This window comes from Homo sapiens, chromosome 12, assembly GCF_000001405.40.
Source record: "Homo sapiens chromosome 12, GRCh38.p14 Primary Assembly".
Lineage (NCBI taxonomy): Eukaryota > Metazoa > Chordata > Mammalia > Primates > Hominidae > Homo > Homo sapiens.
The window spans coordinates 70531507-70554793 of NC_000012.12; the positions used below are offsets into that span (position 1 = coordinate 70531507).

The 23287-nt window shown below is 42.0% G+C and overlaps 1 protein-coding gene and 1 long non-coding RNA gene across 12 annotated transcripts in view; one reads left to right on the plus strand and one right to left on the minus strand.

The window, feature by feature from the left end:
• Window positions 1-23287, plus strand: part of PTPRB-AS1 (PTPRB antisense RNA 1) — a 103372-nt gene that overhangs the window by 63428 nt on the left and 16657 nt on the right. Inside the window, exon 6 of one of the 3 annotated variants that reach the window (XR_007063360.1) lies at window positions 6544-11535. The exons of 1 other annotated variant lie outside the window; for it this stretch is intronic. This is a non-coding gene — a long non-coding RNA (PTPRB antisense RNA 1). Of the gene's footprint in view, window positions 1-6543; window positions 11536-18815; window positions 18942-23287 lie in introns of those variants that run through there. One more of the 3 variants, XR_945075.4, reaches the window with a different exon arrangement.
• The window catches only part of PTPRB (protein tyrosine phosphatase receptor type B), a 121560-nt gene that overhangs the window by 15637 nt on the left and 82636 nt on the right, over window positions 1-23287 (minus strand). For all 9 annotated transcript variants that reach the window (NM_001330204.2, NM_001109754.4, NM_001206971.3 and 6 more), the window contains 12 exons: window positions 21271-21514; window positions 13051-13157; window positions 9352-9451; window positions 8433-8516; window positions 8321-8338; window positions 8119-8200; window positions 7418-7508; window positions 6649-6725; window positions 4519-4653; window positions 3327-3449; window positions 2982-3145; window positions 529-664 (listed from right to left, as the gene is read on the minus strand). In NM_001330204.2, the coding sequence (NP_001317133.1) occupies window positions 529-664; window positions 2982-3145; window positions 3327-3449; window positions 4519-4653; window positions 6649-6725; window positions 7418-7508; window positions 8119-8200; window positions 8321-8338; window positions 8433-8516; window positions 9352-9451; window positions 13051-13157; window positions 21271-21514 (1361 nt within the window). The remainder of the gene's footprint in view (window positions 1-528; window positions 665-2981; window positions 3146-3326; window positions 3450-4518; window positions 4654-6648; window positions 6726-7417; window positions 7509-8118; window positions 8201-8320; window positions 8339-8432; window positions 8517-9351; window positions 9452-13050; window positions 13158-21270; window positions 21515-23287) is intronic.

Consider the following 23287-nt stretch of genomic DNA (forward strand, 5'->3'; position numbering starts at 1 on the left):
GCCACCTCAGCCACTTCATGGCTGTGGGCTTTGTGCAAAGCCCTTAAGCTTTTGGACCTTCATTTTCTAGTCTGGAAGTAGAATATAATATGTCTCGCTTGGTTATTGTGAAAATTTAATGAGATAACATGTTCAAAAATGCCCTGCAAATGTCAAAGTGCTGCACAAATGGAAGCACGTGGTCTTTACCATCTACATACACTCCCTTGGGGTCTCCTGAAATGGGGGTGTAGGTGGAGGGAGTGGGGCTGGGGGAGAGAAGAGATTGGGATCTTCTTCTTTCCTAAGTGAAGTTCTTATGCTCATCTGCCAGCCTATCTTAAAATGATCCCCAAGATGGTCACCTTCAAGACCAGTGAGATTTGTTTTAAAATAACAAGTCTTAGAAAATATCTACATGCAGTTCTTTTTTTCTCTTCCTAATGTGTCATAGTTATTTCCCCTTGTCAGATTAAGGTCCTGGATATTTTTTTGTGGGAATACAGTGGGGAGGAGGGTGGCCTGTAACTTTCAGTCTATAACTCTTACCTCAGTCTGGACCATGTGAACCCTGTGAAGTCTTAGGTCGTGCACTGCTCCATAAATGTCCACAGAGTCTTTGGAGTCTAACTGCTGGAGGATTCGGTCCAATGCAATAAAGGTTCCAGTCCTACCCACACCAGCACTAGAAGAGATGGCAAAGGAAGATTGAGCCTTTTTATTAAATTTGCCTTTCAAGATTGCATCTAGAGACTCTGGCACAATCTTTTTTTTCCCTTCCCAGTTATGGGAGAAGATAGGAATATTTCTTTCTCTCAAATAAGTTTAACCTAGAGTCCCCCAACCCCACCCCCCCACAGCCTTCTATCTCTTTCCACTCCCTTCCTGTCCCTCCTCCACTCTACCAGGGATAAGTACTGCTCTGCACTTACTGTGTATCATTTCCACGCATGTTTTTAATACTTTTCCTACATACAGGTAAATCTATAAACATTTATGTTTGAAAAATCTACTGAAATGGTAACATATGTGCTTTAGGTATCTTTTTGTCAACTTTCCTACTCAATATTATGTTTTCAGATTTATCTATATTGCTACATATAGATCTTCTCGTTTCTTCTTTCCTTCCTTCTTTCTTTCTCTCTCCTTCCTTCCTCCCTCCCTCTTTCCGTCCTTCACAGGGTCTTGCTCTGTTGCCCAGGCTGGAGTGCAGTGGCACAAGCATAGCTCACTGCAGCCTCGACCTCCCAGGTTCAAGCAGTCCTCTCACCTCAGCCTCCTGAGTAGCTGGGACCACAGGCATGTGTAACTACTCCCAGCTAATTAAAAAAAAAGACTTGTAGAGATAAGGTCTCCCTAATAGTTGCCCAGCTTGGTCTTGAACTCCTGGCCTCAAGTGATCCTTCCACTTTGGCCTCCAAAGTGCTGGGATTAGAGGCAGGATATACCACACCCAGCTGATCTAATTTCTTTTAATTAATTCTCTTCATAAACCACTGCTAATCCAGTGGCAGTGAGATCATTTTAAATTTTTCTCTATTAAAACATGTGTTGCAAAGAACATGAATATATGTGGAGATTTCTCAGGGGTCAACACCTAGAAGCAGAACTCTTGGGTTGGTCATGGGCATGAACACCTTCAGCTGCACTAGGGATTGCCAAATTCCTCCCCAAAATGGTTGTGTCATCTGGGGATTTTTGATACACACATTTATAAGATAACAGTTCTCCAGTGGTCCTGGACAAAAATGCCTGCCATTTTTCAAAAAGCAGAAAGCTCTGAGGTGAGTGCCTCACCTTCCTATTAAAAGTGTCAAGGTTCCAAGGACATAGGAAAGCAGGGCTCCTAGGGTGCTGGGCTGACAGGGAGGAGATGAGTACACTTGGCATTTCTCTTACTGCTGCAGTTCCCTGCTCCATATTTATTAGTGCCATTCAGTTAGGGCTATCAAAATGTTGCTGCAAACATTAATTTGCTAGATACCAGGCTCGCCAGAGAGAGAGAGATTTCACTTGTTAGGTTGATTTTCTGGACAGACTGAAGCAAAGAGAAATCAAGAGAACAAATTTAAGAGAAAAAATTAGGTGCTACAGGTGGCAATTGCTGTGCTGTGGTTTGAATGTTTGTGTCCCCTCCAAAAATTCATGTTGAAACTTAATCTTCAATGCAACAGTATTAAGAGGTGGAGGAGGTGATTAGGTCATGAGGGCTCTGCCCTCATGAACGGGACTGGTGCCTTGTGAAACAGTTGGAGGGAACTAGCTAGGTTCTTTTGCCCTTCCATCCCTCCCTCTATGTGAGGACACAGCCTTTGTCTGCTCTGGAGGACACAGTAACAAGGCACCATCTTGGAAGCAGAGACTAAGCTCTCAACAGACACTGAAGCTGCCAGTGCCTTGATTTTGGACTTCCAGCCTCTAGACTATGACAGATAAATTTCTATTATTTATTATCCAGTCTGTGGTATTTTGTTTTAGCAGCACAAATAGACAAAGACATGCTACTAGACCTGGAGGGAAGATTAGAAAATAAATCTTGAAGGATAGGTAGGACTTAGGTGGAGAAGAGAGATAAAGCCATTCCAAAATGGAAGAATGGCCAGAGGCAAGAATAAGCTTGTGTGCTCACTTTCCTGGCTAGAATGTGAAGGGAGTTATTGGGAACTTAGATTGAAGGTGATATGCCTGATGATGGAAAGCATGGAATTCCCATCAGGACTTTGCATTTCAGAAAGTAGGAAAAAAGCAAGAGGGAGAGAGAAGGCTGGAGAGTGAGGATGAGAGAGAGGCTACAGGGGAAGAAAGTGGAAAAGAAGTCAGGGAAGAGAAATGATGTTGGCAGAAGGGGAGGAACGTTATAAAACCCTCTGGGGGCGAGGCAGGCTGGTTGGTCCAGACAAATCCTCCACCCACCAAATTCCCCATGCTTATGTATTTTTCCAGACTCCCAGGCACAACCCCCTTATGGCTGCCATTTTATTGGCTGCTAGGTTTCCTAGTACCTGCAGTGCACCACAGTGGGCCCAGCACCCGGGCTTCTGTTGATGTAGTCCCTGACAGTTCTCACAAACTGGATCAGAGACTGGGTGGTTTCTGGGACTCCATGGTCTGGCCACACCGTATAGTGAAAGTGGCGGATGAGTCTGTGTGCATCAAGCTGTTCCTCCTGTAAGAGCAGAGAGCAGGATAAAAGAGGAACTGTCCAATGCAAACCTTCAAACTTGACAGCTGAGCCATGGAGCAACTCCTATGGGCTGAAACTACAAGAGAGGAACCAGCGAAAGTGGGGTTCACAGATCTCATTCATCTCCCCAAGCTCGGTTGTTAAGTCAAGCAAGCTAACATACACCGCATATCTTAAACTCCCGGATGGTCCACTCAGGCAGGACGGACTCTGAGAGCATCTGCAGGATGAGGTCCCCATAGTAGAGGGAATCCTGGTCCGCTGGCCAGTAATGATCACACTTTACCTAGAACAGGACAGACAGAAAAAACATGAGTCCGGAAAAGTGACTCCTTGGTGAACCTGGGGTTTCCCTCCTCTAAATGTCTTCCAAAGTTAGGAATCTGGGATCAGCTGCTAAAGCAATTTGACCATCTACTTTATATTAACCTTCTCATGGCCAGTGCTGAAGCTGAGGTGCTGCTCCAAGTGAAGGGGAGAGCCTGTACAAGGAGCACCCCTGACTCCAACCTTTGGGTTCACTCATTTTTTAGGCCCAGTAATATATGGCTTGAGTTTTTTTTTTTTTTTTTTTTTTTTTTCCCCTCAGCATTTCAGTTCCACTAGCAGGTAAACTGTGGTTCACAACGTATTGTTCTTTCTAAAGAAAGAAATATCTAGTTGGGTAGAGGAAGGCACTGTCTTCCTGGCCCTTCTTCGTTCATATTTTTATGTCACTGTCCTAACGTGGGCCGTGTGCCAAGAGATCTTTGAGAAGTTAGAACGTTTAGCTAAGCTCGCCTTTACATGTATACAGACAAGGGGAAGAGGAATGTAAGCATATGTTTACTGAGCGCAGATACTAGGCACTTTATACGTAATCTCTCTTTTAATCCTCAATCTTTTAATCCTCAAAATAACCATATAAAGTAGAGGATGGTAAGTGCATTACAAGGGGGTTTGGTTGATTTGTCTGGATTATTATTTTACTTTGTGTCTGCCAACACAGTCTACAACTCACTTCTCCTTTCCTGGGATGAGGGGCAGGTCCAGTGACTCTGGCAGGGTCTCTCCTCCAGCCAGACACTGAAGAATGGAGTAGCCAAGTGGCCAGGTAATTTTTGGTGTAATGGGCACTGCCACTAATCCCAGTCCTCAAATGGAAACAGCTTTGACTGGAACTTCAGACCCAGAATCAGAATCAGGCATCACTTGGGTTTACTATTAGAGTCTTTTGAACAGAGTGGTATAAGTCACTAACAATGCTCTCACATGATCCCTACGTTGTTTTGCGGGGTTTCACTTTGATGATGGGGCAGAATTCTATCCAGGTGGCAGAAAGCAAAGCTTTGATGCCAGGAAGGCTGTTTACTCACTCGGCCCTTCTCAACACACTGGGTCACCATGACGATGTTGTGAACGTTTTGTTCCCACACCATTTTCCAGAAGTCATCCTTGGTGCCAGGAAGCGGTCCCTGAGTGACAATGTATTCTCTTCTGAAGTTGTTGCCCTGCAATGAATTTACAATATGGAGAGTCAGAAACAATGGGCCTCTTCAGAACTATAAACAAAGAGTTCTTCAGATTAGATGATAGGGAGGTCTCTGCCAAGTCTCTGACTTCAGAAAAAGATACTAACACAAGTGTCAATGCTTGGGAGCAGGAAGGACAAAGGTCAGAACATTGAACTAGTGTTAAGAGCCACATTCCCTTTTACTTGCCTGGGTCTATTCTGAAAGCAAATGGGGGACTTAGGCAATGATCTAGAAAACACTTCACCCTCAATTATATGTGTGTGTTGGGGGGTATTTGTGTAGACTGTTGGAGGGACTGTAATCAGGCTCTTTCCCTATTTAATGTAGAAGAGTGTTAGTCATTTTGGATAATCAATGTCAGAATAATTTGGTAAGATATATCATCCACAGGAAGCATCACGGAAGAGAAACTGTTGACTGAGCGTCTACCATCTAATGTGTCGCAGGTCAGGACTTATTTAATCCAAACCACAGTCCAAGAGCGGGATATTTTCATCTACTCCTTCTGCACTCCGGCAATGACAGCAATTCCTTGTCAATTCTAATCGAAGCTCTTTCTCTTTGCCTTTCCTCAGGGTCTCCACATTATGTCACCTCTGCCATCGCCACCCCCGCCCACCCAAACACTGCTTCTCATCTGACCAATCCTTACTTATCCTCAGCATGGTGCCTGCTTGGCTGAGCCTTCTTTTATCTTTCTCTCTGCTGGGGGATATTCTCCAAGATGCCCCATGGCAATCTCTAGCCTCTCGCTACTGAGTGCCGTTCTCAGACCAGCAGCACTGAAATCACCAAGAGGCTTGTCAGAAATGCAGACTCGGCCGGGCGCAGTGGCTCACCCCTGTAATCCCAGCACTTTGGGAGGCCAAGGCGGGCGGATCATGAGGTCAGGAGATGGAGATCTTCCTGGCTAACACGGTGAAACCCCGTCTCTACTAAAAATACAAAAAAATATTAGCCAGGCGTGGTGGCAGGTGCCTGTAGTCTCAGCTACTCGGGCGGCTGAGGCAGGAGAATGGCGTGAACCCGGGAGGCGGAGCTTGCAGTGAGCAGAGATCGCGCCACTGCACTACAGCCTGGCAGACAGAGCAAGACCATCTCAAAAAAAAAAAAAAAAAAAAAAAAGAAAGAAATACAGATTCCCAGGCCCTGCCTCAGCCCTGATGGATCAGAATCTGCCTTTTCACAAGATCCTCAGATGGCGCAGACATCTTTCAATGTAGGAGAGGCACTGCTGTGGCAGGTTTCCCATGCCATTGCCTTTTCTTGCCTCAACTCTTCTGAGAGTTCCTTTAGGGTCAGGATTCCATCTTATCCCATGCCTGTAAACAGCTCAGTTAGCACTTAATTTCTAAGTGTTTATTGAGTGAATGGATGGTTGCTTGAGGTATGAGGTAAATATTATTATCATCAGTTTTTGGAAAAGAAAATGGAGGCCCAAAAAGGTGACATAATGTGCCCAAGGTCACAGAATCAACAAGGGGCAGAAGTGGGATTCAAACCTAGATTTGTTTGACCCGAAAGCTTTTTCCACTGCAGTATGCCATAGGAAGGTGGCAAGATGCTAACCAAAACCAGAGCCCAAAGATTTGATATAACCTTTGAGTTGTGTCTGTGGTTGTGAAGATTCCAAATAACATGGGATCAGCTTCTCTAGCTAGGCAGCTTTAGCAGGGGAGGTCCATCTTCCTTAGGAAGCTCTCATCTTGGTTAAGGACTGCAGAGAGTAGATGATCTATGAAAATGCATCTTGGGCTCATAATTTCATTTGACTATAGCCATTGTGAAAAATGTGGCGTAGCAGGAACTGAATTGGATACCCCATTTTTTTTATGGCATTCAGATGTGCTCTTCTGAAATCTACAGGTGTTTCCAGACCTAAGAATAACAGGAACATGGAGGAGTGGCATCTCCAGTGTAGCCACCCACCAAAGCCTCATCCTGAACACTATGGCCTAGTGGGTCACTTACAGGGATGTAGCTGGCATTGATGTAGTCAGAGCAAGGATCATCATCTACATTGGAGAGCTTCACTCGCGTGGCATCATCTGGAAGGAGAGATTTGCTGCTGAGTCTTGGAGTGACTTTTCTACAGTTTATGTGATGTGTGTGATGTGCCTTAGCTCTGATCCCCACAACAGCCACAGATGGGAAGTGATCTTATCTCCATTTTGCAGATGAGGCTCAGGCAGGATAACTAACTTGCCCCATGTTGCATAGGTGGCCTATAACCAGTCAGACACAGGAGACAACATGAAGCCCCATCTGTGCTTCCCTTTCTGACATTACCACATTTGCCTGATGGAGTGGCCAGCTCCCTTTCACTGCTGGAATGAATACAATCCAGAAAACCTACCTTCTATTGCTTTACCTAATGGGGTAAGGAAATTTAAGTAGAAATTGCTAACCGAAGACTTTGCTAAGCAAACCCAGGTCTGCTTGATGTCAGAGCCCTTGCTGTTAACCCCATTTACTGCTTAGCCTCCAAAGAGAAGCAATAGCATCACATGGGGAAATGTCAACAGCATAAGAGGACTTTCATAATCAGAATTTAAACTGGCTATTATCCCTCTGGAGGGAAGTGCAGGAATATACAAGCTATTTCTTATTAAAGGCATTCAGAGCTTGAGATTGTCCATATCGAGCTATATTATATTTCTTTAGCCTCATTTCATTTTTGGAGAAAAATGCAGAAATGGCTAGAGGAAGACAGTATTACAAATTTTGACACAAAACTTACAGGGCAATATATTGTTGTATCGATTTTTCCCTCTATTCTCCGGCAAGAGTGCAATGTCACATGACTGGTTTCGGCCCACGTCTTTTAACTCCTGTTAGGTCAAATATGAGTTTGTAAGTGGAGAATATGAAATAGAATAAAGCAAATCATACAGTCCTGGAGATAACATAATAACATGAAAATATATACACTAGCTATTGTTTATGAATGCCTAGTACTCAACATGCATTAGCCCTGATCCCCACAACAGCCCCACAAGGGAGGTGGTGGTCTCACTATTTTACAGGTGAGGCTCAGTCAGGATAACTGATGTGCCCCAGGTCACCCAAGTGGCAAACCTGAGAATCAGTTCCAAAAGCTACGTGCTTTTTGCGAAACCACGGCATCTTCCAGCCAAGCAAATGGCCAGGCTGAATATCTGACAGCTTTAGGTCTGCATTTGAGATTTGTTAATTCTTCCTTACTATCTGATCCAGGTAGCCCTTGGTTTGCTGTGTTATTCTGGAGCTCAAGCTGGCCTCTAAGATTAGATGGTATATTCTATTCAGGGCATAGTTTAGGCATAAAAGAGTGCTCAGCTGAGATTCTAAGCAGCCTCCTAACTTCTGAGCTCAATCAGCCTATGATGACACAGTAAACATTAGGAAGGAAATTCTGCTAAGAACTAGGGATGCTGAAGCTTCATTCTGCCTGAGTTGTACCTCGTATTCCTTGGATAGAAGGTAGTTGGAGTCAGCCTGTAGCTTCATGAAATGCCCTTCAAACTGATTTATTTTTATTGGACTGTAATTAAAAATGAAACAAACAGAAAAGAGTTACTGCAGAAAAGGGAAAGTGCCATAACTATTCTGACTCATATTTCAAAGGCAGATAATATAGTAATTAATGTGTTCTCTCTCTTACCAAGAAGTTTTCCGGTTACTGTGAAGAGAAGCCAAAAGAGGAAGACTTTGTTAGCAAATTTCACATAATACCATCTTTCAACAAATTATACGAAGGCAAATGTGGTGCTTACCCTTTCTGGCCCAGGTTTAAGTGGACAGATAATGGTCGATCCCTACGAATGCTCAGACGGGCAGAGGGTCTTTCTCGACCATGGCTGAAACATAAGGGAGATAACTTTTATTCTGATTATGATACTTGGCTTGAACAAATTTTTCCATTTATGGTAAGGCTGTGGATGTTTGTGCAAATATGGATTTTTCAGTATTCATACAGATTTGCACTCAGCCAACATCTCTGAGGGAGGGAAAGGAAAGAGAATAAAGTAGATCATTCCCACCCAGAAACGGATCTCTGCAAAAACTGAAGATTTGTCTCCTGGTTTTTGGCTACAGGTTATAATCACTTCCCACATTCTCAATAAAACTTTGCTTTAAAAAAATCCAGTAAATTTCAGATGCCAGACACGACTTCAATAAAGAGGAACATGTGCCAAATTAAGAAAAAAAATTCACTAAGAGAAGAAGGCACGACACTTGGGGCCACATGCTATTTGGTTCTTTTTGGTCCCTTCTTAAATTAGGATGGCAGATATGAACTACAAAATGGTGATGTCAACCACACTTTTCAGGATATTTCAGAAAAGCACTTGGGCATGCAATTTGCAAACATCTCTGTCTTCATGAGGATATGAACCACACACACACACAAAATATTTTTTTCCTGTGCAAAAGGAGTCACTTCATCTTTAAATAAAGCTATAGATGGCCCCTCAGTCCTTTGGTAAGGGCTGAATTCATCAATGGGATATAAAAGAGCTGAGAAAAGTGAGTCATGGCTTTAGAGTTTGACTTGTTTTTATTGAGAAAACAGTGACAATTTAACCTGGAAAAATTAAATTATTTTCCCTTCTTAGTTTTCAGCCTAAAGGGAATTTTCAGTTGCATTTTTAAAGTTGTGGGTCCAATCACCAAAAGGATCTTTGTACTTACCTCACTTTCTGTCTGCAGATCAATAAGGCAACAACAGCCACTAGCATGCCAATTAAAAACAGACCAGCACTCACACCTTCAATAGCTCCAAACAAGGGCTCTACAATAATCCAGATAGAAACAACAAACGCAGGTGGGAAAATTAGTGCTAGGGAACCAGTAAGAAAGCTATTGAAGCCATATCTCCCAAGTAATGTTATTACAAATAGAATTCAAGTGATGCCCACGATGAGGCATTTACTTTCCAAAGGCTCTGAGTATGCACCTAAGAAGATGATGAAAGGCTGGCTCCCACCCTGTAGCAGTGAGGCCAGGTGTCACTGCATACTTTTGAAGTTAATGTTGCATAGCTTATAGAGGAATTTTGGACTTTGCACTTGTATATAAAGCTTGGGGCACCTGAGATAAAGGCCATAAGTTTGCCACCAAGATAAAAATGCCATTTCATTTATATAAAACATGTTACACAGCATCTGGGGCTTTGGAAAATCCAGTGGATTGCTTGGAGCTATTCTAAGAAGTCTTATTTTTATTATCTGGTATGGTAACGCTACTGGGAGTTTATGAAGAGGTAAGAGTGGCCTCATTTTTAAAATAGCTTTATTGAAATATCATTCATATAGCATGCAACTCACCCATCTAAGTTGTACAATTCAGTGGTCTTTAGTATAGTCAAAGTTTTGCAAATGTCACCACAATCAATTTTAAAACATTTTCATCACCCTCAAAAGAAACCGCGTACCTATTAGCAGTCAGTCCCACTCCTCCCTCCCCGCGATCCCTGGCAACCACTAATCTACTTTCTGTGTCTGTGGATTTGCCTATTCTGGATGTTTCATAGAAATGAAATCATAAATCTGTGATCTTTTGGGACTGGCTCCTTTCATTTAGCATAATGTTTTCAAGGTTCATCCATGTTATAGCATATACCAAGATTTCATTCCTTTTTATGGTTGAATAATCGTCCATTGTATGGATATATCACATTTTGTTTATCCATTGATGGACATTTAAATTGCTTCTACTTTTTGGCGATTATGAATAATGCTGCTATGAACATTCATGTACAAGTTTCTATGTGGACATATGTTTTCATTTCTCCTGGGTATATACTGAGGAGTGAAATTGCTGGGTCGTATGGTAACTCTAGGTTTAATATTTCTATAAACTGTTTTTCAAAGCAGTGACACCATTTTACATTCTCATAAGCAGTGTATGGAAGGTTCTGATTTCTTCATATCCTCACTAACTCTTGTTACTGTCTTTTTGATTATAGCCATGCTACTGGGTGTGAAGTGGTATCTTCTTGTGATTTTGATTTGCATTTCCCTAATGATTCATGATGTTGAGCATCTTTTCATGTGCTTATTAGTCAACTGTATATCTTCTTTGGAGACATGTCTATTCAGAGCCTTTGCCCATTTAAATATTGTGTAATTTGGCTGGGCACGGTGGCTCATACCTGTAATCCCAGCATTTTGGGAGGCTGAGGCAGGCAGATCACGAAGCCAGGAGTTCGAGACCAGCCTGGCCAACATGGTGAAACCTTGTCTCTACTAAAAATACAAAAATTAGCCGGGTGTGGTGGCGCATGCCTGTAGTCCCAGCTACTGGGGAGGCTGAGGCAGGAGAATTGCTTGAATTTGGGAGGTGGAGGTTGCATTGAGCCAAGGTGGCATCACCGCACTACAGCCTGGGTGACAGAGCAAGACTCCGTCTTGAAAAAAAAAAAATATATATATATATATGGCCTGGCGTGGTGGCTTACGCCTGTAATCCCAGCACTTTGGGAGGCCGAGACAGGTGGATCACAAGGTCAGGAGATCGAGAACATCCTGGCCAACACGTGAAACCCTGTCTCTACTAAAAATATAAAAAAATTAGCCAGGCGTGGTGGCGGGCGCCTGTAGTCCCTGCTACTTAGGAGGCTGAGGCAGGAGAATGGCGTGAACCTGGGAGGCGGAGCTTGCAGCGAGCCGAGATCGCACCACTGCACTCCAGCCTGGGCGACAGAGCGAGACTTTCTCAAAAAAAAGGAAAAAAAAAAAGGAAAAAAATATATATATTACACTATATATATAGTGTAATTTGTGTTTTTATTATTAAATTGTGAGGTAAGAGTTCTTTATATGCTATTCAGCCCTTATCAGATATGTGATTTGGAAAATAAATATTTTCTTCCTATTCTGTAGGTTGTCTTTTTACTTTGCTGATAGTGTCCTTTGAAGCACAAGTTTTTAATTTTGATTAAATCCAGAGTATCCATTTTTTCTTTTGTAGCTTATGCTTTTGGTGTCCTATCTAAAAAGCTATTTTCTAATCCAAGGTTACAAAGATTTACACCTATGTTTTCTTGTAAAAGTGTTACTGTGTTATCCCTTAAATTTAGGTCTATGAAGTGGCCCATTTTTGAAGTTGCATTTTAAGATCTTAGATTTGTTTGTTCCATGTTGCTTTTCAAGACTCATCAAATCAACACAATCATCTTTCCTTGAATGTAGTTAATATCCTTTTTTGAATATACGTTTACTGTCTTCCTGTACTGGACTACATGCAATTTTTGTCATGTAACAGTATTTCAAAAAGGAAAGAATTGTGTTTACAAAGTCCCTACATTAAATTATAAGTAAAGACATCTAAATCCTCTTAACTGTGTTCTCATCCCCCTTTAGCTTGAAATTGGGAGATTATCCCTATATTTGGCATAAATAGATTGGAATGTTTGTGAGGCTGAGTCATCGTTTGTCATGCAGCACGAGAGACAGTTTTAGCTGTAAAGAACTTCCCAGACCTAGAGATCAAGCATTGCAGAACACGGATTACAGGAAAAGGCTACGCAGACGATGGTGTTGGGAGGGAAGGTGATGAAATGATGCTATTCTCAGCCTGGTGGAAGTATTCAGAGACAGGGCAGTGCAGAGGTTGTACGCTTGGGCAGAAAGTGCCAGAATTTCAGCTGCACCATCTTGGGCAAATTACTTAATCTCTTGGTGCCTCATGTCCTCATCTTTAAGATGGGGATGATAATAGCATCTAGCTCAAAAGACTGTCATGAGAATTGGACAAGTTATCCCATGTAAAATGCTTAAAACTATGTCTCCATAGAGAAGGTGAACAGTAAATACTAGCCACTATTATTACTCAGGCTTTCCCTCTAACACACTAGAGAAGTCTCTTTCAGAAATTGTTATGCACAGTCTTTTATATTAATGGTTTTTAGTACTACAAAGTCAACACATAATAAGCAAAAGGAAGAAAAATCACCTGTATTTCCATTACTTTGAGATACACATCATTAATACTTTGGTGTTTTTTTCTTTTAGTCTTTTTTTCCTGAGCATTTCTGTGTATATGCATATATACATTCTCACTTTTAACTGAAAGTGTTTTGTAGTAACTTATATTTTGGCCTGTGAAAACTCTTGATTTTAATGGTTTTCACTCACTATTTAGAAAATAATTCATTTTTAATAGAAAAAAATACTGTACTTCCACCTTCTTTTTAGATTAACCCCCTTTCAATCCATTCTTCTAGAGAGGTTGTACAATCCCTTTGATCCACATCAATTTTTGGTCACATAAAGATTAAGTTCCAAATGAAAATAAATGTTCCCCCCACCATCAGCCAATATCTCCCCATTAGAGGCTCTTGTAGGTGACATGGCAGTTGGTAGAACATGATGTAAAGGTTAGCCTTACCTGATTCAGTAGTGATGGGTAAAGAAAAAAATGTGTCTGAATAGAGTGGCTTTGTGAATTCCTTCAGGTCCTCATCAAAGAGCTGTGTAAAAGCTCGAATGCTGATTCTGAAAAGAAAACCGATTTATTTAAATATAAATTAGTTGTTGAACACAGTAGCTGAAAAATGTGTTCAAGGAGAAATAGGGCGGGTTCCTGGTCAGTGGGTAGCAGGGTAGAATATGAGTTATGGAATCGGATAGACCTGGGTTCATGCATTCATTCATCAATTTATTCATAAATATTTATTGAGCCCCTGCCACACGCCAATCACTGTTCTAGTAGCTGGGACTTTGCAAGGAACAAAACAAAGTCCCTGCCATTCCAGAGGTTACATTCTCATGGAGGAAGTCAGACAATAAACACACAAATATAATAAATCAGATGAGATGTGTGCTATGAAAAAGAAAAGAGCAGGGTAAGGAAGATGGAAAGCAATGGGAATAAAGCATGTGGGACTGCTTCATTCAGAATGGTAGTGATGAAGGCAGTGAGTGAGAAGTGTTGGATATATCAAAGGAAGAACTAAAAGATTTGCTGATGAATATAGAGTATGGATGATTCCACATGTTCTGGATGGGGAACAACTGGAAGAATGGAGGTGTCACCTACTAACATGAGGGAAAACTATTGAGAAGTAGACTGGGGGGTTTGGGAAGATCCAGACAGATCAGTTGTGGAGGAAGTAATTCCGAGATGCCCATTAGAGAAGTCAAGTGGCCCAAATATCAATATTATTGTTGTTGTTATTTTAACTTACATATCTTTTGGCACTATTTTCTAAAGATCATTTTATCTAAAAATATTCTAATATCATATTTATTGTCAACAGGAAATATTTGTTAAAGCACTGCTTTATAAATTGCTGAAGTTAAAAAGAGATGTATGGTCACTAGTCTTGGAAACTTGAAAGACAAAATACAAAGGAATCAGGCAAATAGCAAAATAAGAAAGCATATATACAATGGCAAATGAGGAATGGTAGAATATGGAGGAAACAGTGTGTGTGGGCATAGGAGGTGAGGTGGCTGGAGCAGAGAGCTCAATGAAGAGACTGCTGGGATAGTCAGGCCAAGGACACAGGGCCCTGGCCAGGAGCCCTGGCAATGAGAATGGAAAGAAGACTGTGAAAGGCACTGAGAGGAGGAACTAGATGGGGCCCAGACTGAAGAGAAGCAGGGGAGAATCAAGGATGGCCTAAGACTTGAGCTCATGTCACTCAAGAGAACAGTGGGATCATTGATAGAAATAAGGAGACAGGCTGGGAGCGGTGGCTCACGCCTGTAATCCCAGCACTTTGGGAGGCCAAGGCAGGCAGATCACCTGAGGTCAGGAGTTCGAGATCAGCCTGGCCAACGTGGCAAAACCCCGTCTCTACTAAAAATACAAAAATTAGCCAGGCATGGTGGCGGGCACCTGTAATCCTGGCTACTTGGGAGGCTGAGGCAGGAGAATCACTTGAACATGGGAGGTGGAGGCTGCAGTGAGCCAAGATCATGCCACTGCACTCCAGCCTGGGTGACAAAGCAGGACTCCACCTCAAAAAAAAAAAAAAAAATGACAGACTGGTGAAGGAGGATATGCTTTGCTTGGGATATACTCGATTTAGAGGGACAGTGAGGCATTGATTTACAACTATCCAGCTGACACTGGCATTATTCCAGTCACCTGAGCAGGAGAGTTGCTGAGGTGGCTGTCCACATGTCCATGTGGGATAGTGCCTGAAAATCAGCTGGTCCTAAATTCAATAAACAAGCAAGATGCAGCTACAAACACACAGATTTGTAACCTCTGCTTGAATGAGAAGCCTGTGATCCCTATCATAGGACCTAAGTTTCATGCTCTCTGCATAAGTCAGCCCAGTCTGGAGAGCTGCACTCAATTTCTGGGGGCATATTTTAGGATGAATTAGAGATCATTTGAGTGACTGACCTGAACAATGATAGAGAAGACTTCAAGGGACATAATATAGTTAGCTTCAGATTTAAGGAAGACTGCCATGTAGAAGAGGAAAACAACATGATTATTTTTCTTCTTGAAGGAAGAATTAGGCTCTGTAGGCTGAATTTATAAGGAAGGAGGAGTTTAGGAACATTAAGCTGTTTTCTAACATTAGAATATGAGCTGCCTCCTAGGTTGAGAGCTCCCAGTCACTGGGGGTTGGAAGATGGGAGTGGGATTCTAGTAGAGGCTGGAGGAGAAGCAGTCCCAGGGAGGCTGGAGGAGAAGCAGTCCCAGGGAAGCTGGAGGAGGGCATCGCTGCTCTAAGTTAAAGATTGGCTTGGGTGACTTCTTAAGTCCCTCCTACTGTGAAGATTCTCTAATTGAACTGATGGAGTATTAGGCTTGGTTTATGTGGGAAAACTTTTGCTAGTGTTAATTTCAATTCTATGAAAGTGACGAGAAGTACTCCTTTTTTTTTTTGTTTTTGTTTTTTTAAAATCTATATTTCTTGAACCCAAAGGTATCTGGGCATGTCCTGTGATAATGCTGAAGCGGTACTAGGCCAGGGCAAATTGTTCTGACCCTGCTCCCGCTTCTTCTGACTTATGCCCAGATCCGAGTGTAATCCTGTAAAATGAACATCAAGATGATATTGATAAATCACATCTATAACTTCCATCTCCAAAAGATCCATTCCAAGTCAAAAGGTGTTCTTCCAGGAATAACAGCCTGTTAATGGAAGTATATTGAGAAAGGTCCACAAAGGGAAACAAGTAGTCACCACACATTAAAGGGGAAGGTGAGGAGTTGGTGTGTTTTGCTAATTTTGGAAGGCAGCTATGCTAACCACCATAACACCAATGCCTTGGCAAATATGTTGCTAATTTATTATACATTTGGAAATTCAGTGTCTCTCTGATAAGAGTTTCTTATTTATAAGTGTGGAAATACTTTTTTTCTTTTTCTTTCTTTTCTTTCCTTCCTTTTTTTTTTTTTTTTTTTTGAGACAGGGTCTTGCTCTGTCACCAGGTTGGAATGCACACTGCAACCTCCACCTCCCAAGCTCAAGTGATCCTCCAACCCCAGCCTCCTGAGTAGCTGGGATTACAAGTGCACACTACCATGGCCAGCTAATTTTTGTATTTTTATTACAGATGGGGTTTTGCCATGTTGCCCAGGCTAGTCTTGAACTCCTGGGCTCAAGCTATCTGCCTGTCTTGGCCTCCCAAAGTGCTCGGATTACAAGTGTGAGCCATCGCGCCCAGCCATAAGGACTTTTTCAAACATGTTTCTGTTTGATCATGTTCAACCTCTCCAATATAATAAAGAAGTTTATTATATTACTTCAGAGGTTTGGAACCTGAAGCTAGGAGAGAGTCCATGTCTTCTCGAAGATCACACAGAAAGATATGAACGAAAACTGAACTTCATATTTCTGGCTCCTAGTGCAGATCTCTTTTCTTATTTCCTCATGGCTTAATTTTTGGTTAAAAGCAATGACTTCTGGCTGGGCACAGTGGCTCATGCCTGTAATTCCAGCAATTTGGGAGGCCAAGGCAGGCAGATCACATGAGGCCAAGAATTTGAGGCCAGCCTGGCCAACACGGTGAAACCCCATCTCTATTAAAAATACAAAAATTAGCCAGGCCCGTGTGATGCGTGCCTGTAGTCCCAGCTACTTGGGAGGCTGAGGCATGAGAATTGCTTGAATCTAAAAAGTGGAGGTTGCAGTGAGCTGAGATCACACCACTGCACTCCAGCCTGGGCAACACAGCAAGACTCTCTCTCTCTCTCTCTCTCTCTCTCTCACACACACACACACACACACACACACACACACACACACGCCATGACTTTTGTAGGAAGGATGAAAAAAGCCTGGGCTAGGAACAAGAGGATCTGAAGTCTAGTTCTCACTCTTACTCCATTGCTGGCTACTTGAATGGTCCCTAAAGTTCTTTATGACTCATCTGTAAAATAAAAGCATTGGCTATAACAACCTTGACATGGTCTGCTCTGAAACCACAAGTGTAAACACAAAGTACTGAATGAATGCAGATAAAAAGGACCTTTAGGAAGGAGATAATTACCTAGTATAGGTTCAGCTTAAAATTAATGGGTTATCAGGCACTCTTCCCTTAAAACTTTTCCAAAAATGAATATCACAACTACTTTCCCCAGCCCAGCACTTAGCACCCACCCACAGTCCTCTCTCGTCCTATCATCCCAGTCTACTCCTTTTTATTCACCCTCTGTTTGAAACTGGACTGTTTGTTCTTCTCTAAACAATTTGTGTATTTAAACCTCCACGCTTTGACTCCCACTATTCATTCCACATTGAATCTCCTTCTGTCCCTATCTGGGTATTTCTAAATCCTTTCCTATGTTTTAATTCCTGTGTTTTAATACATCCTTTGAGAAGCCTTCTGAACCTTCACAGAATTTATTTTCCTTTATTCCTTATGTCCTTCAACATTTCTGCCTCTATTTTGCAGATGTGGCTTCTTTCTGTCTCCACATTGTAAGCTTCTTGAAGGCAGTGGCTCCACCTTATTTATCTATCACCCAACAACACGTATTGCCAGATAAGGCAATAAAATGTGCTGAATATATTATAGAAAGATAATTATGAATATGACACAATAACAAGACACTATTTTTAATGAACAAATATCTGATAGATTTTTTTCCACTTTAAATGTGTCCAGAATCAGAATTCTATAGCAGAAAGTTAGAGATCATGTGGTTCAATTTCCTTCCTTTGAAGAAAACGAGGTCAGGAGAAGCTGACCACCTTACTATGGTCACACTGCTCTTCTATTTAGAATAAAAACAAAACCAGACCAGCACTTTCCTAACCTTCCAACTCTCTCTCACCATAATGATCTGCCCTTTCTCTTTCCATATGGAACAATGGAATAAAACATATGAATCATAGGAACCCAACAATGAATGAAACACATTATATCTGTTGACATAATAAACTTGCGTATCAGCTAAACCTAGCATTTCCCATTTCTCAATCCTAATTATTCTTTTACCGTGCTATTTCCTGTCCACCTATTCGCTTTGGAAAAAAGGATGCCTAACAACAAGGAGGGTCACTGTGGTAATGACTGTCTTGAGACAGGCAGAATTCTGACTGGACTGAGTTCAGCAGCCACCACGCAAGAGGCTGATTTGCATGTGGTTCTCTGATGTGCTTTGGGAGACGACACCTCCTCTCATCAAGCATTATCTGTCTGGCATGCTTTTAACAGGACTGAAGTAAACATATATATTGGAGAAATATAGGAAAGGTGTGTTCTGAAAAACAAATATGTACACAGAGATGATGAAGCCATAACACGAATGTGTTACATCCTTAGAGCATCTTGGCTCATTCCCGTATTTGTTCATAAACATTTCACAAGCACATCCTTTGTGCCAGGAACTTGCCATATTGTTTTGTAACCAATGACACATCTGTCTCCCCTGTTGGACTGTGAGTTCTTGCAGTCTAGTAAAGAGGGCAGGTAATTCGATAAAGGGTTAAAAGCCACTGTAAATGTAGGATTAGAGGAATGTAGGCAGACGGTGATGGGGACGTGGACATGGGGCTGATGGAGCACCCAACTGCCCAGCTGTGGGCTGACAGGATAGTGTGGGTGGTTGAGGGTTGAGCTGGCTTTTGAAGTGTACAGAGAATTCGCCAGCCAGATAAGAGCGGAACGCATCTGAGAGTGAAAAGATTATGCAAAGGCTCAGGCGTATAAAAGAACCATGTCACATTCAGGAACTCTGAGGAGTGAGGAGTAGCAAGAGAGCAGTGGGTACTTGGAGCAAATACGATTGGAGACAAGGCTGGTGAGGCAGGCGGGAGAAAGCAGGGCTCAGTGTGCCCTGTACTGGAATCTGCTCTTGCTCTGGTAAGTGAATGGGAACTATGGGGAAACCTTAATTTAGAAGGGACATGACTAGGTTTGATCTGTCACATACTCAGGACTACTACTTAGGACAACCTTATGGAGCTTTGCAGGTGAGGAAGATGAGGATTAGAGAATTGAAATGCTGCTTACACAGTTAAAAAGTGGCAGAGCTGGAACTCAAATGCAGGGGCTCTTCCAAAGACCTCCGCAGTTACTATGGGTGCTGGGAGATTGGTGGGCTCTGGTCCAGACACAAATTTTTTATAGCTTCTTACTCTCTTTGAAATTTAGTAATGAGTTATCTTCACCCCTCCCCTTTCCATAAGTAAACAAACTAAATCAGCTTCAGTTTTCCAACTCAAAAAGAAAATAGCCCTTAGGTGACTTTTGCTTGAGTTTCCTTGAGCCCAGGTAACCAAGGAGCTGAGGAATCTCTTGAATCTTTTTTTTTTTCTTTTTTATTTTTTAGATGGAGTCTTGCTCTGTCGCCCAGGCTGGAGTACAGTGGCATGATCTCAGCTTACTGCAACCTCCACCTCTAGGGTTCAAGCAATTCTCCTGCCTCAGCTTCCCAAGTAGCTGGGATTACAGGCGTGCACCACCGTGCCTGGCCAACTTTTGTGTTTTTAGTAGAGACGGAGTTTTACCATGTTGGCCAGGCTAGTCTTGAACTCCTGACCTCAAGTGATTCGCCCACCTCGGCCTCCCAAAGTGCTGGGATTACAGGCGTGAGCCTCCACGCCCAGCCGCATCTCTTGATTCTTACAGGAACTGATAAATCCTGGTTTTCTGATCTTTCATGTTTCTCCCTTGTTCTTCTGAAATCTTGTTTCCTTTAGGTAGGCTTGTATGGTCTCTTTTTGAAGTAAGTATGACTAAAAAGTTTGTGTTTGTTTAATCTGGAGGTGCTGACCTTGCCTGGGAGGTAACAGTAACTGTCTGGTGAGTCCTGGGTAAAGGTAGCTTTACAGAGTTCCTGCCAAAAATGAGTGCTTTGTTTTAGGAAAAACATCTGTCTGACTTTTTTGATGTGAGGGAGGGGCTAAGAACTCTCTTGGGTGTAACAGTACGTCATAGTCTCCTTTTGGAAGTGGCAGGAGAGTTTTTTTTTCTACTGAGACCTAGGAGTGATACTTCAAATATGTGAGAACCAATAAGACCTCAGCATCAACAAAGCAGAACGAACACTGGCCCATGGAAAACCTAATTTACTGCCATATTGGTTAGGTATCAGCTCTTCCAACACCCAACAGAGAAGGTACATCCTCTGCAGAAGTAATAATGTTGGATGTCAGTAGCTCTATATCCAAGATGGTAGCCTAGGTTCCCTTTCTCTTGAGGATGCTGATTGGGATGCTATATACTTCTGCTTGTACCTGCTTTCTGAAAACACAGTGCAGAACAAGAGCACTGCCAATTCCTAGGGCCGAAGGGCCTAGTGACTGCAGTGATGTTTCCTGGAGCCAAAGCCAGACAGCTGCTCCTTTTCATTAGTCATCTCCATGGGGAAAAAAGGGTGTTCCCATTCATTCAGGGGTCTTTGCCTTCCAGAGTTCTGTCTGGAGCAAAGAGCGCTTCCATCTTTAGATGCCTTAGAAGGTAAATAAGTGAGTATAATTTCAGTTCACATTATAAGTAGAAGATATAACTTCATATTGTTTTTGGATCTCCCTAAACTCAGTCATTTTATTTGGAAATTTTTACAATAATGAGCAAAGTAAAGTATTGGACTCATATTTAGAAAGTTGTAGAAGGGCCAGGCATGGTGGCTCACACCTGTAATCCCAGCACTTTGGGAGGCCAAGGCAGGCAGATCACTTGAGGCCAGGAGTTGGAGACCAGCCTGGCCAACATGGTGAAACCCCATCTCTACTAAAAATACAAAACTTAGCCGGGTGTGGTGGCGTGCACTTGTAATCCCAGCTACTTGGGAGGCTGAGGCAAGAGAATTGCTTGAACCAGGGAGGCAGAGGTTGCAGTGAGCCGAGATGGCACCACTGCACTCCAGTCTGGGCAACAGAGTAAGACTCTGTCTCAAAAAAAAAAAAAAAAATAATGAAAGTTGTAGAAGAAAGAACAATCTATTAAGAACCTTCAGTTCTTCCCTTAATGAACTGGAGCTTTTGCATAGTGCTGAAGTCCCTTTTGACACATTACCTGCAAGTGGAGGCAGGAATCCAACGTTTATAAATTACCCAGTAAAATGCACAGTACTCTTGTAACGTAGGTTATTAATCTATGGAAGCTCGCATGCATCAGTTGCTCAGACAGCTGAGTGCTTAGTAATGTAGCATGTCCCTTCTAGCAAAACAGTGGTAATATATCTAACCTGTAGGCAGTGTGTGGCTTCAGTGGTCCATCACAGAATTTTTGCTGAGTGGGATCGCATTTTCCACCTAGGCTCTCCATCTCTGCTCCAAGCTTAATGTTAAAACTCTTGGAGTTGCTGTTAGGATTTTCGGCACATTTGCTGGCAAAATAATTAGTCTGATACACCCGAATGGAGGCATTGTGCCTGTACTCCAGGTAGGAAGGGAGAGGGTGCTGCTGTTCTGGCTTCAGCTCATCACTGCCTGGAGGAGAAAACCCACAGTTAAGGACTGCCTTTCTTGTGACTTAGGTGATTTCAGTGATTTTAAATTAGGTTTCTAAGGCTGCCTCCACATCCACTATCTCTGGCCATTTCCAAAGTACAGATTCTGCAATCTCAAAGAACGATGTGAAATTCTCCTAATAAAGTTAATTTTAATTCACTTTTTCCAAAATACATAAATAGTGTGTATATAAAATACACACACACACAGCATCATTTTCCTAGGAAATAAAATAAGGGTAGCTCATTGCATTAAATGAGAGCATGTCTCACAACTCCAGAGTGTTGGACAACTCCCATTGTGAGTGAACCCACTTGATAAACTATCTTGCCAATAACCATTGTAGTTGAGCTAATAAGGAAACCCCTATGACCTGGGAAATAGGAAAAAGATAAGAGAAATCATGTCCTAGGCCAGAGCAGTCATCCCACAAGGCGTGCTCCACATGTCATGCCCAGTTTGATTATTGCTCTGCATGTGGATCTGTTATCTTGAGTACAGTTTAATCCCCATCCAAATTTGGCCCCTTACTCAGAGCACTTCCCAGAACTCTTCCCCTGTCCACCCAGCCTGCTGTGTGTTTTGGCACTGCAAACCAGTTTTGATGTTGGCTGGAGAAAAGCGTAAGTAGAAAGATAAATACTATAGAGATCAGATACTATTTACAATGAGCTTCAAGAAGTGGTGCAGTGAGGGTTTATCATAGCATCCTGGATTGTTGTTTAATAAAATTTGCTCATAAGTGAGTCTTAGAAATATTTTGTTGGCAGTAGTTAAAAAGAAATGTTGTCTTTAGCATGAGTGTGTACACTATAAATGGCGTTTATATGAGATGGATTGTTATCTTAGCTAACCTGGAAATCACAGCTCATCTCCATGGACATCAATAATGGGAAGGCTGTCTGGCTGGGGAACACAAGGCTACTTTCTGGGGTGTGACTTTTTTGGTTACTGTCTCATATTCATGTAGCAAAACACTGTCTTCATTGCAGTCTAATTAAGTCTAAAGTCTTTCCACAGTTCACTAATTTATCTTCAATTATGTGGTGTGAGGAAATCTGGGACACACCACTGACCCTTGAAATTATTTAATTAATTGTGCATAACCAGATTTAGTACAATTAAATAAACTGTGAAAGCACATAGACTGTTAGATACTGTGAGCCTAAAATACCCATTGGCCTAGAAACTCCTCACAGTTTGTCAGGTTTCAAGTTTCCCCCTTACCCACAAATGGGTCAAAATTATTAGGGATGCTTAAGAAACTCATGCAGCACCTTAAACAGTATAAAAATATATAAGAAAGGTAAACTATATTAATGTCATTCCAGGCACAAGCATCTCTTTTGGAGAAATAACACACAAGACCTCAATGGCGAATACATATATGGACAGGTGTGCCCCAAATACAACACTCTTACAGGTGGTTTGACAAATGCTGATATAATAAGCTTGAAAGCTCATACTGAGTGGTTGTATGTGATGTTGTGATAACTATTCCCTAGACTTTGTTCTTATCTGTAGGAATTAGGTAGATATTGAATAATTTAGGAAACTAGAGAATAAAACTATTCAAAATTCAGTGGAGAAGGGAAGAATGTTTTTCATGAACATCTTTTCCTTCTTTTAAGCTTTTGGTTATTTTTGTGACTTGGTGGGTGGTTTGCAAGCATGATCAGTTGAGGCATTTGAGACAGGGAGGGGTGAAGACAGTTGAGGCATATTAATGTTTAATGGTAGAACAAAAGAGTA